The sequence below is a fragment of the Homo sapiens genome, chromosome X, assembly GCF_000001405.40.
Source record: "Homo sapiens chromosome X, GRCh38.p14 Primary Assembly".
In the NCBI taxonomy this organism is placed as follows: Eukaryota; Metazoa; Chordata; class Mammalia; order Primates; family Hominidae; genus Homo; species Homo sapiens.
This window is the reverse complement of record NC_000023.11, coordinates 33,116,706-33,140,058: the sequence shown is the minus strand read 5'-3', so window position 1 is coordinate 33,140,058 and position 23,353 is coordinate 33,116,706. Positions and strand designations below refer to the sequence as shown.

General features: G+C 37.8%; 1 protein-coding gene across 17 annotated transcripts in view; it reads left to right on the top strand.

The window, feature by feature from the left end:
* DMD (dystrophin) overlaps positions 1-23,353 on the top strand; it is a 2,220,167-nt gene that overhangs the window by 199,330 nt on the left and 1,997,484 nt on the right. The window contains 1 exon segment of one of the 17 annotated variants that reach the window (NM_004009.3): positions 11,631-11,912. The exons of 15 other annotated variants lie outside the window; for them this stretch is intronic. In NM_004009.3, coding sequence (NP_004000.1) covers positions 11,894-11,912 — 19 coding nt within the window. In that variant the 5' untranslated portion in view covers positions 11,631-11,893. 17 annotated transcript variants of the gene reach the window in all.

Below are 23,353 nucleotides of genomic sequence, written 5' to 3'. Positions count from 1 at the left end.
CAGAAATGTGATATATAAGGATCTTGTTCTGTCCTTTCAAAAGTCAAACAGAACCACTGTCCCTTAAAGCTGATCGGCAAAGGAAGAAGCTGGGAGTCCAAAGGATTTATTTATACAAAATATGTATTTCCCTAATGTTCACTTTCCAACTTTGATTAGACATTTTTTTTTTTTTTTTTTTTTTTTTTTTAGCGATGGGGCTGTATTAGTCAATTCTCACACTGCCATAAAGAAATACGCAAGATGAGGTAATTTTTAAAGAAAAGAGTAATTGGCTCAAAGTTCCATAGGCTGTACAGGAAGCATAATGCTGGCATCTTCTCGGCTTCTGGGAAAGCCTCAGGAAGCTCAAAATCATGGTGGAAATGAAGGGGGAGCAAGCATGTCATGTGGCCAGGGCAGGAACATGAGAGAGAGAGTGGGAGGTGTCAAACACTTTTAAGCAACCGTATCTCATGAGAATACACTCACCATCTGAAGACAGCACCAATGGGATGATGATAAACCACTCGTGAGAAATCCACCCGCATGCTCCGATCACCTCCCACCAGGCCCCACCTTCAACACTGGGAATAACTTAACCGGGCGTGATGGCAGGTGCCTGTAATCTCAGCTACTTGGGAGACAGACGTTGCAGTGAGCTGAGATCGTTCCACTGCACTCCAGCCTGGGTGACAAGAGTGAAATTCCGTCTCAAAAACAAACAAACAAACATTGGGGATTACATTTCAATATGAGATTATGGCAGGGACAAATATTCAAACTATATCAGGGGTCTCGCTCTGTCTCCCAGGCTTCAGTGGCACCATCGTAACTCACTGCAGCCTGGAACTCCTGTATTCCGGCGATCCTCCCACCTCAGCTTCCCCAGTAGCTAGGACTACAGTTGCGCCACCACATCTGGCTCATTTTTGTAGAAATGGGGTCTCCTTATGTTGCCTGCTTTGGTCTCAAACTCCTGGCCTTAAGTGATCCGCCCATCTCGGCCTCTCGGAGTGCTGGGATTACAGACGTGAGTCACTTTGCCCTCCCGGACTGGTTTTATGTGTGAAGGAGGCTGCTGCTGATTTCATGAGTAAGCTGGAGAAACACATTAAGGAATGATACTGTCCCCTTAGTTGTCAACCTTCAAAATAGGAAACAAATAATAGCAAAGAGGTAAACGTGGCAGAAAGCAGGGGTGAGAAAGGGAACAATCAGATATGCGAAACATCAAAGAACAAGAAATAGCAACAAACCCACGCCAGAAGCCAGCAAGAAAAGGAGAACTGTTATAAGTACCAGTAAAAATGCTGAAGAATGGCAATAAAAAGGAGAAAAAAGTACTCACAAGGGAGGCCTTGAAATGACAATAATCTATTCCAGGATGAAAAGAAAAGGAAACACTACTCCAAGGCAAAAAGAAAATAAAAAGTAAGGAAAATCAAGATAGATGAATATCTTCAAAAAATCAGCACAATGGAGATAGAGTGTTTAGGGAATAAGAAAAAAAATAAAAGTAGACAGATACAGAAAGAAGTAGCAAATGCAAGGAGCAATATCCCTATTATTAATGCTGGCAAATTGTACTTATATCTCTTTCCAGCTATATAGCATGTTCCTGGGAAATAGCCTAAAGCACTGAGAATTAGGGATAGGAGAATGCTGTTACTGTGAGAATACGAATTAAGTAATGCCAGAGAAAGGCTTTGCTGCCAATATAATAGCTGAGTGATCAGGCCACGTCATTTCTGTCTGATGTTTCTTCCTGTCGAATAGGTAATAGTATTATTTCTCTAACTCAAGGGACATTAAAAAAATATTCAGTTAATGTATATATAAATGGAGACAATATAGACAGATGTTTAAGAATATTTTGGTTAAAAGGACAGACTCAAAGCCAAACTTTCTGGGTTGGAAATCCAACTCTTTCATTTTCTCTCAGTACTGTACTGTAGGACTCTCTTTTTATACACTTTTTTTGTACTGTCTTTTTTATACACTGACTCTCTTTTTTCCTTAGTTTCTTCATCTGAAAAATAGAGTTAATAATAGCACCTACCTCATAGGATTGCTGAGATGAGAAAATTAACAAATAAAAATCACTTAGACCAGTACCTATCACATAGCAAGGAAAATCTCAACTATATTCATTGTGGTGATGTTTTGTTAATAAACTTTTAATATGAATGTAACATATCACATTCATTAATATATAGGAATTATATTTACTTACATTGATAAAAGTCCTATCTGACATCATCTTCTGTTCCTTCATTATTTTTCCCTTCTTCCTCACTTTTTCAGTTCTGTCTCTCTTGGTTCATTCCAAAAAAGGGTCATTTCTTTTTTGCCTCAACTGCAGAATGCATATTATTTATCAAGCAATTATTGAGCACTTACCATATACAGGCACTGTTAGAAAGACATCTAAGGCACAATTTTTTAGTGTGCTGAAATAGTTATTCATTCAGCAAAAGAAGGAGCTCATAAAAATAAAAAAGAAATGCTATGGGTAAATATAAGAACATGGTGATTTCACTTGGTCCTCTTGGATGTAAAAGGAAGCTTTACCAAAAATGTTAAAATAATAATTGATGGTTGCAGTGCTGCTGAATTACATCAAACTTTCTATTGTCTCACATTTCACTTTCTAATTTGTCCGTTCCTAGTGAAACTAGAAGCTGAAACCACATTTTTACTCATTTCTCCCGTTATCCTCCCCCCACCACTATAAAAAGAGAACATTTATGCTTAAGTGCTTCTGATGATGTGTTCTCAGTATCTCATTCTGTTAGACTAATAGTCCTCATGCCAAGTTAAAGTGGTTGGAAATCCTAGCACACCTTGCCTAAGTGTGTTTTATTTATCTTGCTACACCCCGTTTTATTGTAATAGTCTTGGGAGAGCCCCGAAAGATGGCATTGACCTATTTCTATAAACTTTAAGGGAGCAGGGGACGATCTCCCTCCATAACAAATTCCAATAAATGATGAGGTTAAAAATTATAGAAAGGATATTTCTAGAGAGGTATTTTTATGTGATAAATTTTAATATATATGTATATAGTTTTTAAACTTGAATATATAAAATATATACTAAACTTGTATATTTATATATGTATTAAACTTGTACCACTTAAAAATTCTTCTGTAGAAATATCTTTTCTATAATTTTTAACCTCATCATATATAATGATGGTAATTCTTCGTACTTCTTACTCCTAATTGTCTTAGTTCAATTGGGCTGCTATAATAAAAATATCATAGACTGTGTAATTTATAAACAACGAAGATTTATTGCTGCAGAACTGTTTCTGCAGCCCAGGAAATCCAAGATCAAAATGTTGGCAGATTTGGTGTCTGGTGAGGGTTCTGTCTGCTTCACAGATGGTGCCTTCTTCCTTTACCCTCACATACTGGAAGGGCAAACAAGTTCCCTTGGCCTCTTTTATAAGGGCACTAATCCCATTCATGAGGGCTCCGCTTATATGACCTAATCACCTTCTTAAAACCCTACCTCTTAATACTGTGGCATTGGGGATTATGTTTCTACATATGAATTTTGGAGGGACACAAATATTCAACCCATAGCACTAATGAAATACAGCATTTTTAGAGAGCAATGTCTACTATTTTACAGGCAGCTTGCTACTCGTGATGACAATACTTCTTCGATCTAGTATCCCAGCATTGTTCCATTAACAATGTATGCATCTTACCAATGTAATGTTCAGTAAATATTTTGCATATTTTAAGAGGAATCTGTTGTGGTTTTTTTTTTTTTTTTTTTTTTTTTTTTGAGACGGGGTCTCACTCTGCCACCCAGGCTGAAGTGCATTGGCTTAATCACAGCTCACTGCAGCCTTGCCCTCCCAGACCACAGGTGCGTGCCACCACGCCTGGCTGATTTAAAAAAGAAATTATTTGTAGAGACAAGGTCTCACTACGTTGCTCAGGCTGGTCTTGAACTTCTGGGCTCAACCACCCCTCTGGCCTTGGCCTTCCAAAGTGCTGGGATTACAGGCATGAGCCACCAAACCCAGCCTGATTTTTTATAATACAAAATAATATACACTCACTGCCAAAAGTAGAATACAGAAAAACACAATAAAGGTAATAGTTGCCTATAATTTTGCTATTCAGGAATAACCAGTGTTACCTGTTTGGCACAGACATTCCTATTGAGAACTATATAATGATAGCTAATATTTACTAGCACTTGGTACATACCCATGTTTCAATTACCTTATATGTTAAATATTATCCATTTATGCCTGAAAATAATTTTATAATATAAGTACTGTTATTAGACCATTTTAAAAATGTGAAAATTGGTGCAATAACAAGATGCATTAACTTGTTCAGGGTCACAATGCCATTATAAAATGGAGCCGGAATTCTAAACCAGGCATTCAGGCTCCAGAGCCTAGGTTTTTAACCACTAAGAATAATACATTTTAGTATTTTAGCATACACATAGTTTTGGAAGCTGCTTAATTCACTTAATATATCATATGGTTTTCCAACGTAGTTAAATATTCCATAAGAATGTGATTTTTTTATGTCTGCATATAAATATATTAATAGGATGTACCAGAATTGTTTTCATTTCTATTTCATGAATATTTAGTTTGCTTCTAATTTTTCACAATAGAAATGATCTAGCATATTTTATAAAATTTTTGAGCAGATGTACAAGTATTTAGAGACTAGTATTTGTTTAAATAACACGTGTTGGACGTTAGTGGGGTATATATCAATGTGAAACATGAAGTAGATGTTTGCTTTGTGGTAACTATGTTCCAGGAACAGTGCTAGGAAGCACTAGGGACTGGAAAGCTGTAAAAAAGCCAGTCTTTCTGTTCTTAAATATCTTATAATCTAATGGAGAGAGAAACCTGTAGAATAGTGCGTTTCAGTAGAAGCAAGCTTAGTGTACTGAGAAATGAAAGGCAGATGATGAAGTTTGGACAATGGATGGAAACTATCTTATCAAGAGTTGGGGTTATAAGAATGACAGTAGGTGATATGAAGAAACTAGTGTTTTAAGAAGATATATGTGGCAGCATTATAGACATATGGGGATTTAGAACAGGATTATACCTACTGAACTGGACTTATTTTATTTCTAGAAATTTTGTGATAATAAATACCATACATTATATGTTGTTCTCATATAGGAGACGTAATATATGGGTATGCCATTAATCAAAGGCTGATTTTAAGTGGAAGAATTCGTTCTGTTGGTTTACAGTCCCAGTTATAAATTAATGGGCTTACCACGTAGTTGTTCCCAGATCTTGGAAGTATTGAAGTTTTTTAAAAATTAATTAATTTATTTTTAACTGACAAATAATAGTTGTACATATTTACCGAGTACAACGTGATGTTTTTGATCTATGTGTATGTTGTAGAAAGAGTCAGTCGAGCTGACTAACATATCTATCACCTCACCAACTTATCATTTTTTGTAGCGAGAACATTAAAAAATCTATTCTTTTAGCAATTTTGAAACCTATAATACATTATTTTTAACTGTGGTCACTGTGAGGTGTTGAATGTTTTAGGAAATTCTCAGATAATCTCAGGGCCAAGTGTTAAGCAGATCATTCTCTGAGACTGGATCTTCTGCAGTATGTCTGCGAACTTTTTTATTTCACTCTAAGCCTTTGTTGTTGCCTTCAGGGGTTACTGACTCACGTTTAACTCAAGGCTGACTGAGTTAGATATATACCGCCTATAGTTGATGGGTTTTGTTGCCAGAAATATTCTTTTGCTTATCAGTGGGGAAGGTTTTTGCTTCTACTGCTGGATTTAAAGGTGTCCCTCAAGATTCCATTACTCAGTTCATTGAGAAAAGCTTAAAGCTAACGGAGGGGAGTTCTGAGCTCTGTTTGATGAAGGAGGCTGGGTAAAATAATAGCTCCCAAGTTGGCTCAAGTTCTTCCAGATGTTCATGTTTATGTAAAACTTAACACTTAGAGATATTCCATGTTGTAAGATGTCTGTGCAAAAGTTCCTTATATCAAATTCTAAAATGATTTTTGGTCATCAGGTGCAAAAATTAACACTAATCATCTAAAATAACCAACCAGATAGATTTTCATTCTGTTTGACTTTTGAAAGCAAATACCCCTATGATATTGAGTGAGTGTTTTATTGTTTGATTTTCCTTCAAACTTGCTGTAACCCTATGGGAAAGATATGCAATCAAAATAAAAGAACAGTATCCAAAAATAAATGGGTCATGAAGAATTGTGCTTAAAATCGTTAAGTAAACAGACACACACCACAGTGATGAGATTGTAGAAACTGGAAAAAATGCTGCCAGCTGAAGAGCTGCAAAGAGTTTGGCTTTTCATGAACTTAGTTACTGAAATGAAAGTTCCTCCCTAGGAGAGAAGCCAAAATCATAGCACGGTTTGAATAAAAGTACACCTTTCCAAAGTTACTGCAGAACAATTATGGCCGGGATCCTTTACTCTTATTGAGAAAGCTCGGTAACCTCTTATTTTAAATTGACTTCCATTGAGCAATAATGCCTCCCTGCTTGCACTGTAAGGTACTTTATTGGGTAATGTGTTTACAAGCTGGTCTCATTTTTCTTTTTGTAATAGGAGATGGGTAGCTTACTGCTATTTGGAGGTGACTCCAGGAAACATGATTTTCAAGATGGTCATTTTAAAAAATTGTGATTATTGGGAATAATAACTCTAGAGACAAGATTTAATGGACTTACTTCCAATTTATTCAGTATGTCACCAGGTTATTGCAGTTCTAGTTTTAAATCTGTACATTCGAAGTCTACGTTGTTCCCTGATGTACTGTATATTTAGGTTTGTACTACTACATATAGGTGCTAGGTTTAGCTCCAACTCTCAGCAGGAGCCTAACCTCTCAGAACAATTATTGTAGCCAGATCTTTGGTGGCCCTACTACTTGCTTTTTTTTTAACCACTACTATTTCTTTAAAATCAAAGATATGGCAAACATATTACTAAAAGGAAGAAAACCCATCTTCAACAACATTATGGTGTTTTTCACTTCAAAGGCTTATTTTGTATGCATCATTTGATTTAATTTCCTCCAAAGCCTTGGGAAATGTGAGTGATTATCATCTTATTATTGTTGTTGATAAATAGTAGCTACTATTTATTTAGCACTAACTCTGTATCTGGAACTGTGGTAAACACCTTGTAGTGGAAACTAACAATAGCCTCAGGAGGCTGGAATTGATATTATCCCCATTTTACAGACAACGAAATGTGATATAAATAACATAACGTGCCAAGATTATGCAGCTAGTACATAGGAGAACTGGAATTCAAGCCCTAGTTAAATTGCTTTGACTTCGGAGCCTGAGTGTTGATTGTCTATGGCATGTTGCCAAGCTATTTTATAGCTGGAAAGCCTGGTGATGCTAAAAGTTTAAATACCTTGCCCTAGGTCATAAAATTAGTTCCCAATGCCTTCCAACTGAAATCCCAAACATTTTTTATTACACTTTGTTGTCCGCAGGACTGCTACCCGCTTATATGGTACTCTTTGAAAATTAAACAAAGAGGCATCCTCCCCACTTCCCAAATCCACAGAATAGCCAATTTTGAAAGAAAGCACGCTTTTTTTTCAGTATGACTCTGCTTTATTGGAGGATCACAGGGATGGCTGGGGGGAATGTGGGTATGATACTCAAGCACCTTTGTGCAAGGTGCAATGCCCAGAGCCATAAGGAGTGGCCCCAGTTGTGCTCATTTAAAGGAATAGTTGGACAATTCTAGATAATATTAAGGGAGATATCCAAAAGAGTTTCCTATAAGTATGTGCTCTTAAGAGCTGTAAGGAAGTAAAATTTTGACCCCATTAGTTACATTTCTAACATGATCTAACATCTTCCCTTCACTGCCAACGAAAATGTTTAAGAAGATATAATCTGACAGCAGTTATGCTAAAACTCCCCTGAAGCCAAAATGTGTCACTTCTCAAAATGACCCTCATCTTCACAAGCCCTTGAAGAGGAGTTGAGGATTATTTATGAACTAGGTTTTAACCTAAGGTGATACATTGTGCTGCAGTTGTTACTGAGCTTAGGGATCATTTTGTCTATTCATTTCAGGTTACCATTAGGTTCTTTTTCAAAATCAATTCCTTTTAATTATACAGCTACCCTGGGCATATATTAAATGTCTTACAACATTGATACGCTTTCCCCTGAAGTACTGACAAAGTAATAGATTTAATGCGCAACCACAGGCATAAAAACCCACACACAGTGTAAGCATACAATGAGTACACTGATACTCACAAAAGAGGTTTAAAAAAATGTCTGTAACTGGGGATGTGGTGGTGTGAGGGCCCCATGAATTTTTAGCTTGGAGGATATCTTATCGTACCGATGAACCCTGAGGATATGCATGAAAACAAGCTCCTACTCACAACTTTTTTTGCCTGAATGGTAAGTTTGTCTGCAGGGCTTGGTCTGATTGATTTGAAGGAGCATGGTCTAGAAAGTGGTTCTCAAACTGTTGGATAACAGAATCACCTGGGGGGTCTACCTAAATGTGCAAAGGCCTAAGTCTTATCACTGCTTTAATGAATGTAGGTCTCTGGGTTTATAATGAGCTCGTCAGTTGATTCTGATGAGCACCTAATTTGATAACAACATGTCAATGGGTACAGATTCTCAAACTTGGCTGTTCATTAGAATTGCTTGAGTCTCATTTCTAGAGACTCTGATTTCATTGATATGAAGTGCAGTTTGGGCACTGGGTTTTTTTCTTAAAGAAGTTCTTCAGGGGATTCTAATATCAGCAAAGTTGGAGAACCACGGGTCTAGGGGCCTCGCTACCCGATGTGTTGTCCAAAGACCACCAGCAGCAGCAGCAGCCGCAGCAGCCCCAGGGAACTTATTGGAAATGCAGAATCTCAGGTCCCACCTAAAATTACCGAATCAGAACCCGTATTTTACCAAGATACCCAGGTGGTTTGTATGCCCATTAACTCTTGACACACACTTGTTTAGGGAGTCAGGTAGAGCTGGATTCTTAAGCACTTCCGGTTAGTTGGATGACTGAAAAACCTCTCTGAGCTCCAATCTCCTCACCTGTAAAACGAGTTTAAGGAATAACATTACCAATATTGCAGGTTTGCTGAGAAGATTCTTGAATGCAATACCTGAAACTCAGTTTAATTCCTAGAACAGTGAAAAGCCTCATTAAATATGAAGTCCCGGCCAGGCGCTGTGGCTCACGCCTGTAATCCCAGCACTTTGGGAGGCCGAGGCAGGCGGATCACCTGAGGTCGGGAGTCCGAGACCAGCCTGACCAACATGGAGAAACCCCGTCTCTACTAAAAATACAAAATTAGCTGGGCGTGGTGGCGCATGGTAGTCCCAGCTGCTCCGGAGGCTGAGGCAGGAGAATCGCTTGAACCCGGGAGGCAGAGGTTGCGGTGAGCCGAGATCACGCCATTGCACTCCAACCTGGGCAACAAGAGCAAAACTCCGTCATATATATATATATTTATATATATATATAGTCCCTACTAGAAGAGAGTCCCTGTGAACCTTTTTTTACACTAGTGGCCCCAGAGCTAATGAGGCCAAGCCCCACCAATGATCGTCGTCACAGACATTCCTGTTTTTCTGATATTTATAAAGGTTCCTTTTAGGTATGAGGTGATTTTTATTCAAAAGAACAAATGTTCCCAGATGCCAAGTGTCTTCCGCTAAAAGGATAAATGATCAGAAAGCAATCCTTAGCTACAGTGTCCTTGAAGGTGCATTGTGGAATCTTGCACTGTTGTGCAATTGTGAACAACTTCATCAGACAGTACTGCGTATTTGTACTGTGTTATCCTTAATTTTTCCCTTTAGATCTTAATTTGTTATTTATTTCTTCCCTGGCCAAGAGCTAATTTCTTTACAGAAACTCATATATAGGGTTCCTTTTTTCCTCCTCAAGTCAGTAACTTCTGCAATTAACTACTTTTTTCTTAATTTCTCTAACTTTGGCCCAACTAAATATTTTCCCATCATTCCTGTTTTGCCGCCCTCGAGCTAGGACATGGAACTTACTTGTTCGGAAAAGCTTCTATCTGATTGAAAGGGCATGCTAATTCTTTCTTTATAGTGTAATTGTTTCACATTTAAGAGGGAAGGAGAAACGCCTAAAGTAATACCACAGAAGAAATACCCTCAACTAATCTTTCTAAGCAGTACGACAATGAGTAATGATTACAGTTAATTAAGTTAGGCAACCTCCATTTCCATTCACTTAGTAGCACTGCTAATTATACTCATGCTACAAGGTTTCTTTAGTTCTTCTGTAATTTGGATGCAGTACTCTTTGTAGACAAGGGAATACGGTACGATTAATGAGATTTTTCCCACCAACACCTCCTGTTCTCTCCAAATGAAATTTCCGCATCTGAAAATTGAGAGTAGGGAACGGAGAAAAAAAAAATCAGTCACATTTTAACTTACTGCCAGCACGGTCCATGCTTATAATTGCCAAATATTTTATATTAAAGAAAACAAGGTGTGGGTTTTTTTTTTTGTTTGAAACCTTGTAAAATTGTGGCTTACGTAAAAATGAAATAAGTATAGAACATGGCTTTTTAAAAATATCAGTGGCAATGATAATGACACTTTATATTGTATGCTTTTGGTCGCATTAAATAAACATATGTTGAGCACATACTGTTTGCCGGGCACTGGATCTACTAAAAAAAAAAAAAAAAAAAAAAAAAAAAAAAGCAAACCTTAACTGTAACTCTGGATTTCTTTTACATGAACTTCAATCATTTTAACAACTTACTCTAAAGAAAACCAAGAACTGCAGCTCTACTTGGTTATATTGTTAATGAAGTCCTTGGAAAAATTTAGTTTATATGCTTTGATCAGATGGGGATTGACATACTTAAGAGTTTTATTTTTAATCTGAAAATCCACTTCAATCTTATGCTCTGGGTAAACAGTCATTACAGAAGCCTGACACAATTCTGTTTTTTCAAGAAGCAGGATTCAAGGTTTAACTTCAAATACAAATTTGAGTAAGTTATACGGATTATTCCTTTTAATTCTTTTTTTAAAACACAGGGTTTATGTGGATGAAGTTTCGTTCTTAATCTCCATTTGCCTTAAGAATTAACTTCTGCATTGTGGTTTAGATTGAGTTTAAGATTGTTTCAGATTTTAAAATGTATTTTTAAAGGTGTGTCTGGAGGAAGATATTTGTATGTCAAGCACTGTTGGTTTTCATAGGAAGTTCAAATGTGTTTTCAGCAGCACTGGACGTTTTTAGAGTTATTTTCTTCTCCTAGCATCACACAGGTGCGCAACTTTATAGGTCCAGTCTCTTCTTTTTGCTTCCTTCTCTGCTTCTTTTTCTTTTTCACTAACACCAGTTTGCATAAATGAGTGCACTGTCGAGTTCACGTGAATACCAGACAAAAATACAGGTGTCTTCATAATAATCAGCTCCTCTAAGTCTACTTTCCAGTTTCTGCTTCAGACTCAGATAAATCCTATATAAAGCAGACGACACAGTTATTTCTAGAGGAACTGAGGTTACTGATTAGAAGGGAACGTAATCAGGTAGATTGAGCCGGTGAGGGAAGAAACCATTGCTGTGAGAGGGGAGTGTTTGCAAAATGCTGTCTGTGAAGCTGAATCTGTGAGAACACCTCACTATTCACGGCAACCGGAGTGGAAGAAACAGGTGCAAAAAGATTGTGTGTTTGTCTGCTTTTGTGAGGCTGGTCAGAGATTCTGTGCCTGCTTTATCTGTGCTTGGCTATGACTCTACCTCCAGGTTTACCATACCCCATAGAATGTGTAAGAGAAAAGTACCAACAGGGAAATCAGCAAAAAGCTTTCCTATGAAGGTGTGTAGCCAGCCTCCGCAGAATTTGAAATGTCTGAGGTCTCATCTGGTGAGTAAAAGCTGCAGATAAATGCAACAGCCATTCAGAAGAATGATAAATTCCACAAGCATTCAGAAGCAGGCTTCCCTAAAGGTGACTCTTTTGGTCAATTTGCAACCCCTGGGATATATTTGGATGACTCCTGTTCCATATGCCTTTCTATAAAAGTTAAATTGGGGCTTTTGTTGTGAGGAAGGGAAGAAAGGGGTTTGACACCAATAACCTATAGGATAATGCAAATCACTGAAATAAGAAGGAACCCATATTCTACTTTTTGGGTTGTGGCTTTAATGAACTTTGTCTTCAGGTATCTAAAATTATTTCTAGTATGAAGAAAAGAAAAAAATATCCAGACCTTAATCTATAAACGATAATATTTTTACCTCAAATTAAATTTCTAAGGACGTAGACTACATTCATAAACTCATTAGAAAACTAATGAGGGATTTTTATATTAACAATAGAAAAACCTGTGTTTCACATATATATATGGGCTTATTTATGCATATATGTACATATGAATATGTGTATGTGTATATATATACATACACATATACACTCACATTTTTAAGAAGTTTTTAATCAAAGAAGACGGAAATAACAAGGATCCTTGTGAATAGTAATTTAGACATGTTTAGACAAGCACAACTTATTAGGAAGCAAACTGGGACAATTGTAAACAGTAATTCCAGGCTGCCTAATTATCTGAAATATCTCAGAATGATTTTAGAGGTTAAACACTTATTATTAAATGGTAGCTTCTAAATAAAGTGAAAAGGTGTAGTGATTTATCAGGTTTTTTTTTAATTATAGAATATCCTAAAATTCTAAATTAGCATATATTCTGTTGCCAATATATACTGTCAGTATATTTGAAGTATATTAATTTCTAAATTATGTTACTTTTATTAAAATTCCAAAGAGTTTCTGACTTGGACAAGTTTTCTCTATCTTTAGGAAGACAGCTAGTTTTTTTTTCAGGGGGGTGAGCTAAAAGAGTTAGGATAAAGTACACCGCATTAAATTAAAAACGTGTGTTGGGAATAAAGACAATCCAAAGTTAAAAGTCTATTTGGATCTCAAATTTTCCCATAACTTGATTTGTAAGAAAAGTTACCCTTTTGCAAGTCTTCTCTCTCATTTGGTCTGGACTAAGTGGTTGTCATTTCTCACTTACAGATTGCTGTTTTACTAATCTCTTTATAAATATATTTTTTAATTTTATATCTGTATTTTATTCATCAGATTGTCCTGGAAGTACAGAGGCCAGTTGATGGTTTATGAGTTCAAGCTGAGCCGAATATAGCTAAGCCCTGTCTTGCCTGACATTTCATCAAAAGCTGTGTTGATTTGCAATGTTTACCGACCTATTTATTGAACCTTCACAGCTTGAACTATGCCACCAAGCTCGCTGACATTGCTGAGATTATCTCTAAATGCATGTACAAACTAAGGAGGAAATTGAAAAATAAGTTAAAAACAATCATCCGTCTATTTATTAAATTATGCTTATAGAGTCCTTGATTTATGTATTTGTTTGATTGTTCTCCGCAAAGCCCCATGACCTGATTTTTCTTTGATCTTCCCACACACTCTTGGAAGACGATAGATTAGAACAGTGGTTCTCACTCTTCCTTGAGTGGGCATCAGATTCACCTGGAGGGCTGGTTAAACCACAGCTTGCTGGATGCCACCCCCAGAGTTTCTGATTCAGTCCTTCTGAAGTGGGGCCCCAACCTCTGCATTTTTAACAGATTTTTTAGGAGATGCTGATGCTGCTAGATTACTAAGAACAGAAAATGAGTGTTCTAATACAAAGAGCAGAAAATAATTGTTCTTAATCTAGTTACCTGTGTTCTCTTTATGCGTTGTTTAGTTTACACTGTACAAGAAAATAAACACATATCCTCACAAAATTGAAGCATATATTCTACTAAAGATTAATATATTAAAATATTGAATAAAATATTAAATATCTATGTTAGGAAATTGTATTCCTGCTGAAACTGGCAGTAAAATTACTTAAATTACTTAGCAGTAAAATTACTGTTGACAAAAGTAAACAATTGGTCATTAGGTCTCAAATACGTAAAACCTCAATTTTTTTTTTTTTTCTTGAGACGGAGTCTCGCTCTGTCACCCAGGCTAGAGTGCAATGGCACGATCTCGGGTCACTGCAACCTCCACCTCCCATGTTCAAGTGATTCTCCTGCCTCAGCCTCCCAAAACCCTCAATTTTTAATTACTCCTTTGATTCTTATTCTCTGCGATTTCTCCCTATGTAAAGTTTTAGTCTATTATATTTTTAGTAAAATGAAAGCATGATCCATGAGATAAGCACTTGAATCTATACTATACATCAAAGTCTCCCCTTTTGGGCCATTAAAACTAAGATGTTTTCCAACTTACCTTACCAAAGCCACAGTTTGAAAACTGAAACTATGAAAAAACTGGATATTTTGCTTAATTATAATGCTTCGTAAAAAATTAGAACGTCTTTAAAAATGTTAACAACTAAAGTCAAACATTCAAAAATTATAACCTTTGCTATAAAGTTATATGTTCATTCATTGTAGTCACTTTCTTTTAGTAAAATGTAAGCTTTTGATGTATTCTAATGGGGCGCAACGTTTAGATTAAATGTTTAATATGGATAATTGACTTTTAATGAAATTTAATCTAGATGTTCGTAACTGAGAGTTAGGGGTGAACATGCCTTTAAGGATGTAGACATTTTTATTACAATTATTTTCTCCATGTTTTTGATTAAACATATCAAGGAAATATATATTATTTTTTATTTAACTTTTCTAATGTATTAATTTTTGGCCAGTCCTACCTATCACATGCTTCAGCAATAATCAGAGCTTTGATGACAATGTCACATTATTTTAATTCAGATGTTATTCCAGTTTGATAAGATGGAGCTGATCTTTAGAAAACAAGTGTACCATATTTCTAATCTTTAAATATTATATTGAATTATTTCAGCCTGGCTCACTTGCCAGTTTTTCCCTTTTGTTTTCATGATTAAAGCAACTGATAATTATTAACATAGATAAGATTTATGACATTAATTTATGGTTTTCTTCATAAAAATAAAGCCTTTTTTTTTTTTTTTTTTTTTTTTTTAGATGGACTTTCGCTCTTGTTGCCCAGGCTGGAGTGCAATGGCGAGATTTAGGCTCACCGCAACCTCCGCCTCTTGGGTTCAAGCAATTCTCCTGCCTCAGCCTCCCGAGTAGCTGGGATTACAGGCATGCACCACCACACCAAGCTAATTTTGTATTTTTAGGAGAGACGGAGTTTCTCCATGTTGGTCAGGCTGGTCTCGAACTCCTGACCTCAGGTGAGCCACCTGCCTCTGCCTCCCAAAGTGCTGGGATTACAGGCGTGAGCCACCGCACCCAGCCAATAAATCCATTCTTAACGGAATTTTAGAGCATAAATCTGAGAAAAGAAACTAAGGCTGTACGTACTAGGTCTCCTATACACCTTGTCTTTCATCATTGAATCCTTAGTAGTTAATACCTGCTTGGAATGTAATGGGAATTCAATAAATTAATTAAATAAATGGATGAGTGAATCCTACAGACAATTTTGCCAAGGAAGAAAATAAAGACAGGGTATTTTTATTTCTTTCGGTTTTTTTTTTTTTTTTTTTTTTTTTTTTTTTTTTCAGACAGAGTCTCCCTCTATTCGCCCAGGCTGGAGTGCAGTGGCACGATCTCGGCTCACTGCAACCTCCGCCCTTCAGGTTCAAGTGATTCTCCTGCGTCAGCCTCCCGAATAGCTGGGACTACAGGCGCCTGCCACCACGCCCAGCTAATGTTTGTATTTTTAGTAGAGCCGAGGTTTCACCATGTTGGCCAGGCTTGTTTCTAACTCCTGACCTCGTGATTCGCATGCCTTGGCCTCCCAAAGTGCTGGGGTTACAGGCGTGAGCCACCGTGCCTGGCCAGGGTATTTTTATTTTTATTTTATTTTTTTGAGACAGCGTCTCCCTCTGTCGCCCAGGCTGAAGTGCAATGGCACTATCTGGGCTCACTGCAACCTCCGCCTCCTGGGTTCAAGCAATTCTTCTGCCTCAGCCTCCCAAGTAACTGGGATATAAGCATTCGCCACTACGCCCAGCTAATTTTTTTGTATTTTTATTAGAGACAGGGTTTCACCATGTTGGCCAAGCTGGTCTCTAACTCCTGTCCTCAAGTGATCCGCCCACCTCGGCCTCCCAAAGTGTTGGGATTATAGGAGTGACTCACAACGCCCAGCCTTTTATTTCAATTTTTACTGCTGTTTGTTTTCTTCCAAATGAATAATAAATATGACATTTTATTCTGATAGCTATTAGATTATGAATTGAATGTGAGAACAAAAGGCATTCTGGTTTTCGTTTGTTTTAATATTGGACTGAAAAAAAAAAAAAAAAACTCATTTGAACCGGGCGTGGTGGCTCATACCTGTAATCCCAGCAATTTGGGAGGCTGAGGTGTACAGATCACTTGAGGTCAGGAGTTTGAGACCAGCCTGGCCAACATGGCGAAACCCTGTCTCTCCTAAAAATACAAAAATTAGCCAGGTTGTGGTGGCAGGTTCCTGAAATCCCAGCTACTCGGGAGGCTGAGGCAGGAGAATTGCTTGAACCCGGGAGGCGGAGGTTGCATTGAACCGAGATCGCACCCCTGCACTCCAGCCTGGGCGACAGAGGTAGATTCTGTCTCAAAAAAAAACAAAAGAAAGTAGAACAAAAACTCATTTGAGACTTTCAGGATACAATAATTTGTTTACCTTTTCAGTTTTCTGATTCCTCATGGTGAAGGAATCATATCTCTTCAGTGACACACAAACACACACAGGATATATACAGTTATGTGTTAACACCAGGGATACATTCTGATCAATCCATACTAAGGTAATTTCATCGTTGTGTGAATGTCACAGAGTGTACTTACACTAACCTACGTGGTATAGCGTAGTGCAGACCTAGGTTGTATGGTATATCCTATTTCTGTTTGGCTACAAACCTGTACAGCATGTGACTGTACTGAATACTGTAGGCAACTGTAGCACAATGGTAAATATTTCAATGTCTAAAACATATCTAACCATTAGAAGGTACAGTAAAAATCCCGTGTTATAATCAAATGGGACCACTGCGGTATATGCAGTTTATCATTGACTGAAACATCCTTATGCAGTTCCTATCTTTTCTTTTGGGCCACACTTGGAATTGAAATGGAAGCTGGAGAAAGGAAGAACATGAAATAAACTGATGTTTTTCCAGCCAGTCAAAACTCAGCCTCTGTGTTTTAGAGAAAGCATTCGGAACACAGTTGAGAGAGGGAGAGAAAGAGAAGTGGAAGGTTTAGAGGGAGGTCCCCGCTTGTTTTTATCTCTTCAAGCAGCTCTAAATTTGTCCAAAGCAGAAAAAGTTGTACTTCGCTTCACTCTATATTCAAGACTCAAACCAAGATTAAACATGAACCTGTGGGAAAGTTCTTTTTAATTAAACTCATGTTATTTGAAAATACATTATGGTAAGATATTTTTTTGAAAGTTAAGAGTCAGATTTTGTCTGCATAATGAAAAGTGACTAAGGAGTGCTGAAGTTATCACTCAATTATCAGGAAATCTAGAAAAATTACTTTCCAATAAAAATGAGCATCAATGATTTCTACCACAGCCTTTTGGTTAAAGAGTAATGAGGAGAAATTCTGCCATGTAATTAAAGATAATGAAATTATCAATCAAGGCTAAGCTGCATTAGGTTCTTTGACTAAAATAATTTTATACAATTTTAAGTATAAATTAAGTTAAAATATATACATTGAGTGTGTGCATTAATGTAGACAGTGCCAAATATTCAACAAAATTATTTCACCACCTTTGATTTTTGTTTTTTGTTTTTTGTTTGTTTGTTTGTTTGTTTTTGAGACGGAGTCTCACTCTGTCACCCAGGCTGGAGCTCACTGGTGCAATCTCGGCTCCCTGCAACCTCCACCTCCAGGCTCAAGCAATTCTCCTGCCTGAGCCTCCTCAGTAACTGGGATTACAGGCATGCACCACCGTGCCTGACTAATTTTTATATTTTTAGGAGAGACGGGGTTTCACCCTGTTGGCCAGGCTGGTCTCGAACTCCTGACCTCAAGTGATCTGCCCATCTCGGCCTCCCAAAGTGTTGAGATTACAGGCATGAACCACCATGGCCGGCTGATTTAAGCACCTTTGGAATCATAATTATTAATCATAAATGAAACCAAACTAAAAATAAAGTATACCACATGTGAGAACATTCCAATGAATAAAATCATTTCTGTGTGAGCTAGCCTGCTGTTCAAATTTGTTTATGCTTATGCTTCAGATAATGTTTACAAAAGTACTGACAGATTCCTAGAAGCACAATTTCTAAACACTTACCTTGGAGGTTTCTAGGGCCCTAAAAATATTTCTAGTCATTTCAAAAAACCACAAAACAACTACAAAAAATGTACTTCTCCCAAAGGCCATACGTAGCACATGCAAAAAGAGATTCTGCAGAGCATTTTGGAACGTAAGTAGCTTTTGTGGTTCTGTGTCTCAAATTAGCCTGTTCTTAAAAGTCTGCAAATTAAAAAAGAATGATAGGCCAGGCGTGGTGGCTCACGCCTGTAATCCCAACATTTTGAGAGGCCAAGGTGGGCGGATTACTTGAGGTCAGGATGTCGAGACCTGCCTGGCCAACATGGTGAAACCCCGTCTCTACCAAAAATACAAAAAAATTAACCAGACATGGTGGCATGCGCCTGTAGTCCCAGCTACTAGGGAGGCTGAGGCAGGAGAATCACTTGAACCTGGGAGGCGGAGGTTTCGGTGAGCCAAGATAGTGCCACTGCACTCCAGCCTGAGAGACAGAGGAAGACTCCGTCTCAATAAAAAAAAAAAAAAGAATGATAAATTGAGTCAAAATTATAAAAATTCAACAGACGCTGGCACAGATTTGAGATTTGAGGAACCAGTAAAAAACGTAGTACATATTGATAAATGGCAATGTGGTGTCAAGATATTAAAATTGGTTTTAATCTTATTAACCAACATAAAATATGGAAAACTTATACATTTAAGTGGGCCCAGAAAAAAGTTTGCAAATAGCATTCCAAAAATCGATAGAATAATGTGAATGCTTTGTTTTCTAATCTTCACATAATAGGGTTGGACTAGATGATTTATAAGATCCAGTATATAGCCCCTAATAATAACCCCTTTAAAAAGTCTTTTTTTTTTTTTTTTTTTTTTTTTTTGAGAGAGTCATGCTCTGTCACCCAGGCTGGAGTGCAGTGGCACGATCTCAGCTCACTGCAACCTCCGCCTCCCTGTTTCAAGCGATTCTCCTGCCTCAGCCTCCCGAGTAGCTGGGATTATAGGCACACGCCACCACACCTGGCTAATTTTTGTATTTTTAGTAGAGACGGGGTTTCGCCACGTTGGCCAGGCTGGTCTTGAACTCCTGACCTCAGGTGATCCGCCTGCCTCGGCCTCCCAAAGTGCTGGGATTACAGGCGTGAGCCACTGTGCCTGGCCTAAAAAGTGTTTCAATAGAGGAGAGAAATAAACAAGATCCTGAAGGGATAAGAAGATGTAAAAGTTGTTGCTGATGTTCTGCCGCATATTTCTTTCCCCACCCGAGTTCCATGCAGTATCTTGCTTTGCTATAAACAGGAGTAAGCCAGAAATATGAGGGGTTGTGTTAATGTCACCAGAAGCGACCTTTAACTACGAGGGGATGGAAGTACTTGAAAAAAGCACGCAGCCATCTCATCTTCTGGTGCATAATTCTGAGGCATGTTCCTCACAGCTTCTCAGAGATTCACCAGCAGGACTGAGCCCCAGAATAATGTGCTCATTGACACACCTTTGATTGCCTCCTTACCTTTCCTAATCTCACTTTCTCTTTCCTCTCACTTGTACTTTTTGTAATCAATTGCCAGATAAACTGTGTACCTGCACCTCAAATCCTTGCCTCAGTGTCTGTCTGGGGAGAATCTAAAGTAACACAGAAGGTTAGCGAGAAATTGTTTCACATGCTTAAACAAAACAGGGCAAAGGCACTTAAGATGTTAGAGGGAGGGAGGGTGAGGAAACTCACACGGGATGACTTCACTCTGTTTAGTACCTAAAAGTGAACAGGAGGTGGATCGAAAGGAAACAGTTAGTGAACCTGCAAATCAATAGGAAGGGTTAGAAGACTGGTTATGGGAGATGGACCAGATAGCCCAGTAAGTGAAGAAAAGGCTCATGGAACAGCAGAGAAAATGGACATATATCATCCATATATTTTGTTTCCATCCTAGTCTAATTTACCCTTAGATACTACAATAATCCCCCAACTCATCTTTGCCACTTGTGCTTTTGTCCTTTTCTACTCACTCCATACTCTACATGGCCTAAAGGTTGAGCTTTTAAAAACATAAACCAGGTTGTGTCAATCTCTGATTAAAATTCGTTACTGCTCTGATGCGTCCAATATCTTTACCAAGAACCACACTTCATTTTTCTTCCTTTTCTTCTGCAGTCTTGCTGCATTTCAGCCATACTGACCTGCTGCCATTTCTCAAATGCCAGTCTCTGTACTGCTATTGCCTCTTCCTGGAATGCTCTCCTCATCCATCCTCTAACTGCCTTGATCGCCACTGAATATACACTAACATGCATATTGTCAGTCACGCAGTAGTAGCTTAATATGTATTTGCGGAATAAACTAATGGGAAAGAGTAACAGCATGGTTCAGTTGATGGTGGATAATAGTGATTTACTGAGTCACAAACAACATCATCTGATGCCTTAGCAAAGAGGAGTAGGTATTGGAGAAAGAAGACAATACTTACAATTCTTTACTTCCTTGAGCTCATTTTATATGTGTGTGTGTGTATATATATATATAAAACATATATATGACATATATGACATATTTTTGACATATGTCATGTTATATGCCTCCTTCTCTATTATATATACAATGTGTTCAAGGAAGTAAAGATGTTCAATAAAGTTCAAGGAAGTAAAGTCTAAGGTGTCTTTGTATGTAGCACTGAAGTGATCAGTCAGAGTCCAGGCTTGGCTGGATATCGAACAGTGGATGTGTGAAGTAGAAGTGAGTGATGCCAATTTTAAAGATAATGAGCAGTTTAGTAGGCAAGGATTTAGTGTCAGATATGGAGGTTGTGGTTGGCAGTAGTAGTAGTTGTACTGGGAAGCTCTTCCACAGTGGTGAAGAAGCATGCTGAGAAAGGCCAAAAAGTCAAAGTAGCATCTTGCTGTGGATAAGGAGATTGGCATAAATGGAGTAAAAGTTGAGGGTGAAAAGTGATGTGAGACAAGGACAAATAGACAAGTTGGCTTGGCTAATGTAATACCCATGATGTAAGAAAAGCTATGCTGAGATAGCTAGGCTAATTCCAAGGGACTTTTGAGGGGAGCATATCAGGTTATCACATGCCAAAAATGTTTCATTTCAGAGACTTTAGTCTTCTCATTAATTTTATCGCTAATCCATTCATTTTCAAAATGTATTTCAGGATTTCACATCAGGTCGACTTTAAATCTTTTGTTCAGATGAACGTTTCTTTTCCTAGGACTGAGTAAGACAGTTTGTCCTATCCAGTGCTTAAGAGTAAAGCAAGCTTATGTTGCCACTGCAGGCAGGATTATTAAATAACCAATTACTATTCAGACTGTGTCACATCCCTTTAAATTACTCAAGCAAGAGTCTTGGCCGGGCGCGGTGGCTCACGCCTGTAATCCCAGCACTTTGGGAGGCCGAGGCGGGCGGATCACGAGGTCAGGAGATCGAGACCATCCTGGCTAACACGGTGAAACCCCGTCTCCACTAAAAATACAAAAAATTAGCCGGGCGTGGTAGCGGGCGCCTGTAGTCCCAGCTACTCGGGAGGCTGAGGCAGGAGAATGGCGTGAACCCGGGAGGCGGAGCTTGCAGTGAGCCGAGATCGCGCCACTGCACTCCAGCCTGGGCGACAGAGCGAGACTCCGTCTCAAAAAAAAAAAAAAAAGAGTCTTGAACTTGTTCAGCCTGAACACATCTGATATCCTCAGCCAAGTATAGGATGTAAATTAGATAGCTTCTGGCTTTACTAGTGTGGAATCAGGCATGCTTTTTCCCCTTAGGACTCCATGACTAATGACCTGAATTGTCTACATTTCAAGACTAGTCAGATCTCTAATGGTGAACCTATTTCATTGTTTCTGCTTCTGTTTTGTCCCGTAGTATATGAGACAAAGGATATTTTTATGTGCAAATTGCAACAAGTTGAGATACTCCTTTAAAAATGGATTTTCTTTCCATAGTTGATTAGCGTATGGTACCAGATTTCCTAGAAATGTTTTTATGATAAAAGTTTCAGGTTCTCGATGATGCAAGGAAATTACAGACGTTAGGTAATGATTTGTAATCAGGACACATGAGAGGAGTTGTAACTTTACTGCTTACCCTGTGGCTTTGAGAATCATTAATCCTCAATGGGCCTCAGTTTTCATATCTAAAAATACTGCTTTTTAGGTTCAGTTACTTCAAGGGTCAAATGAGATAAAATATATGTGTTATAACAATAAAATGTAATAATAAATATGAGGTACCTTTTCCCCCAGCTTTATTGAGGTATAATTGACAAATGGCGATTGGGTATATTCAAGGTGTACAATATGATGATTTGATACATATACATTCTGAAATGATTATCACAATCAAGTTAATTAATATATCCTTCACCTCACATAGTTGCCATTATAATTTTTTATGATGAGAACACTTAAGATCTCTCTTAGCAAATTTCAAGTAACAATAGAGTACTATTAACTATAGTCAACATGCTGTACATTAGATCCCCAGAGCTTACTCATCTTATAACTGAGAGTTTCTATCCTTCGACCAGCATTTCCCCATTTTTTTCCATCCCCAGTTACTGGCTACCACTGTTCCACTTTGCTTTGATGAGCTTAACTTCTTTAGATAAAATGAGTTACTTTTTGAAAAACAAGTTTAATTGGCAAAATTGTATATATGTATTGTGTACATTATGTTAAAAAATATATATATATATAATGTGGCCTGGTGAAATTGAGCTATAATAGTAGTGTTTTTAATGACTATGTAGCCGAAAGTTCCAAGGCTTTCAGCTGATTGACTATGTAATTCTTAAATCTAGTAGAGTATCTTCTGATTTGAGAGCAGTATGAATCCTGGCAGAAAACTATGCTGGCTATACACTTTTAAGGGTTTGAACTGTGTTACTTTATCTATATACTCTGCATAAAATATTCTCTCTCCTATACAGGCCAGCTCATTTATTCTTGCTTTTCTAGTCTGATTCCCCCTTTCTGGAATCTTTTTCCTCCATCGACTTTTGGTTCTAAAGCATTCCCATCTTCAAAAATTCAATTCAAGTCCTAGTTACCACAAC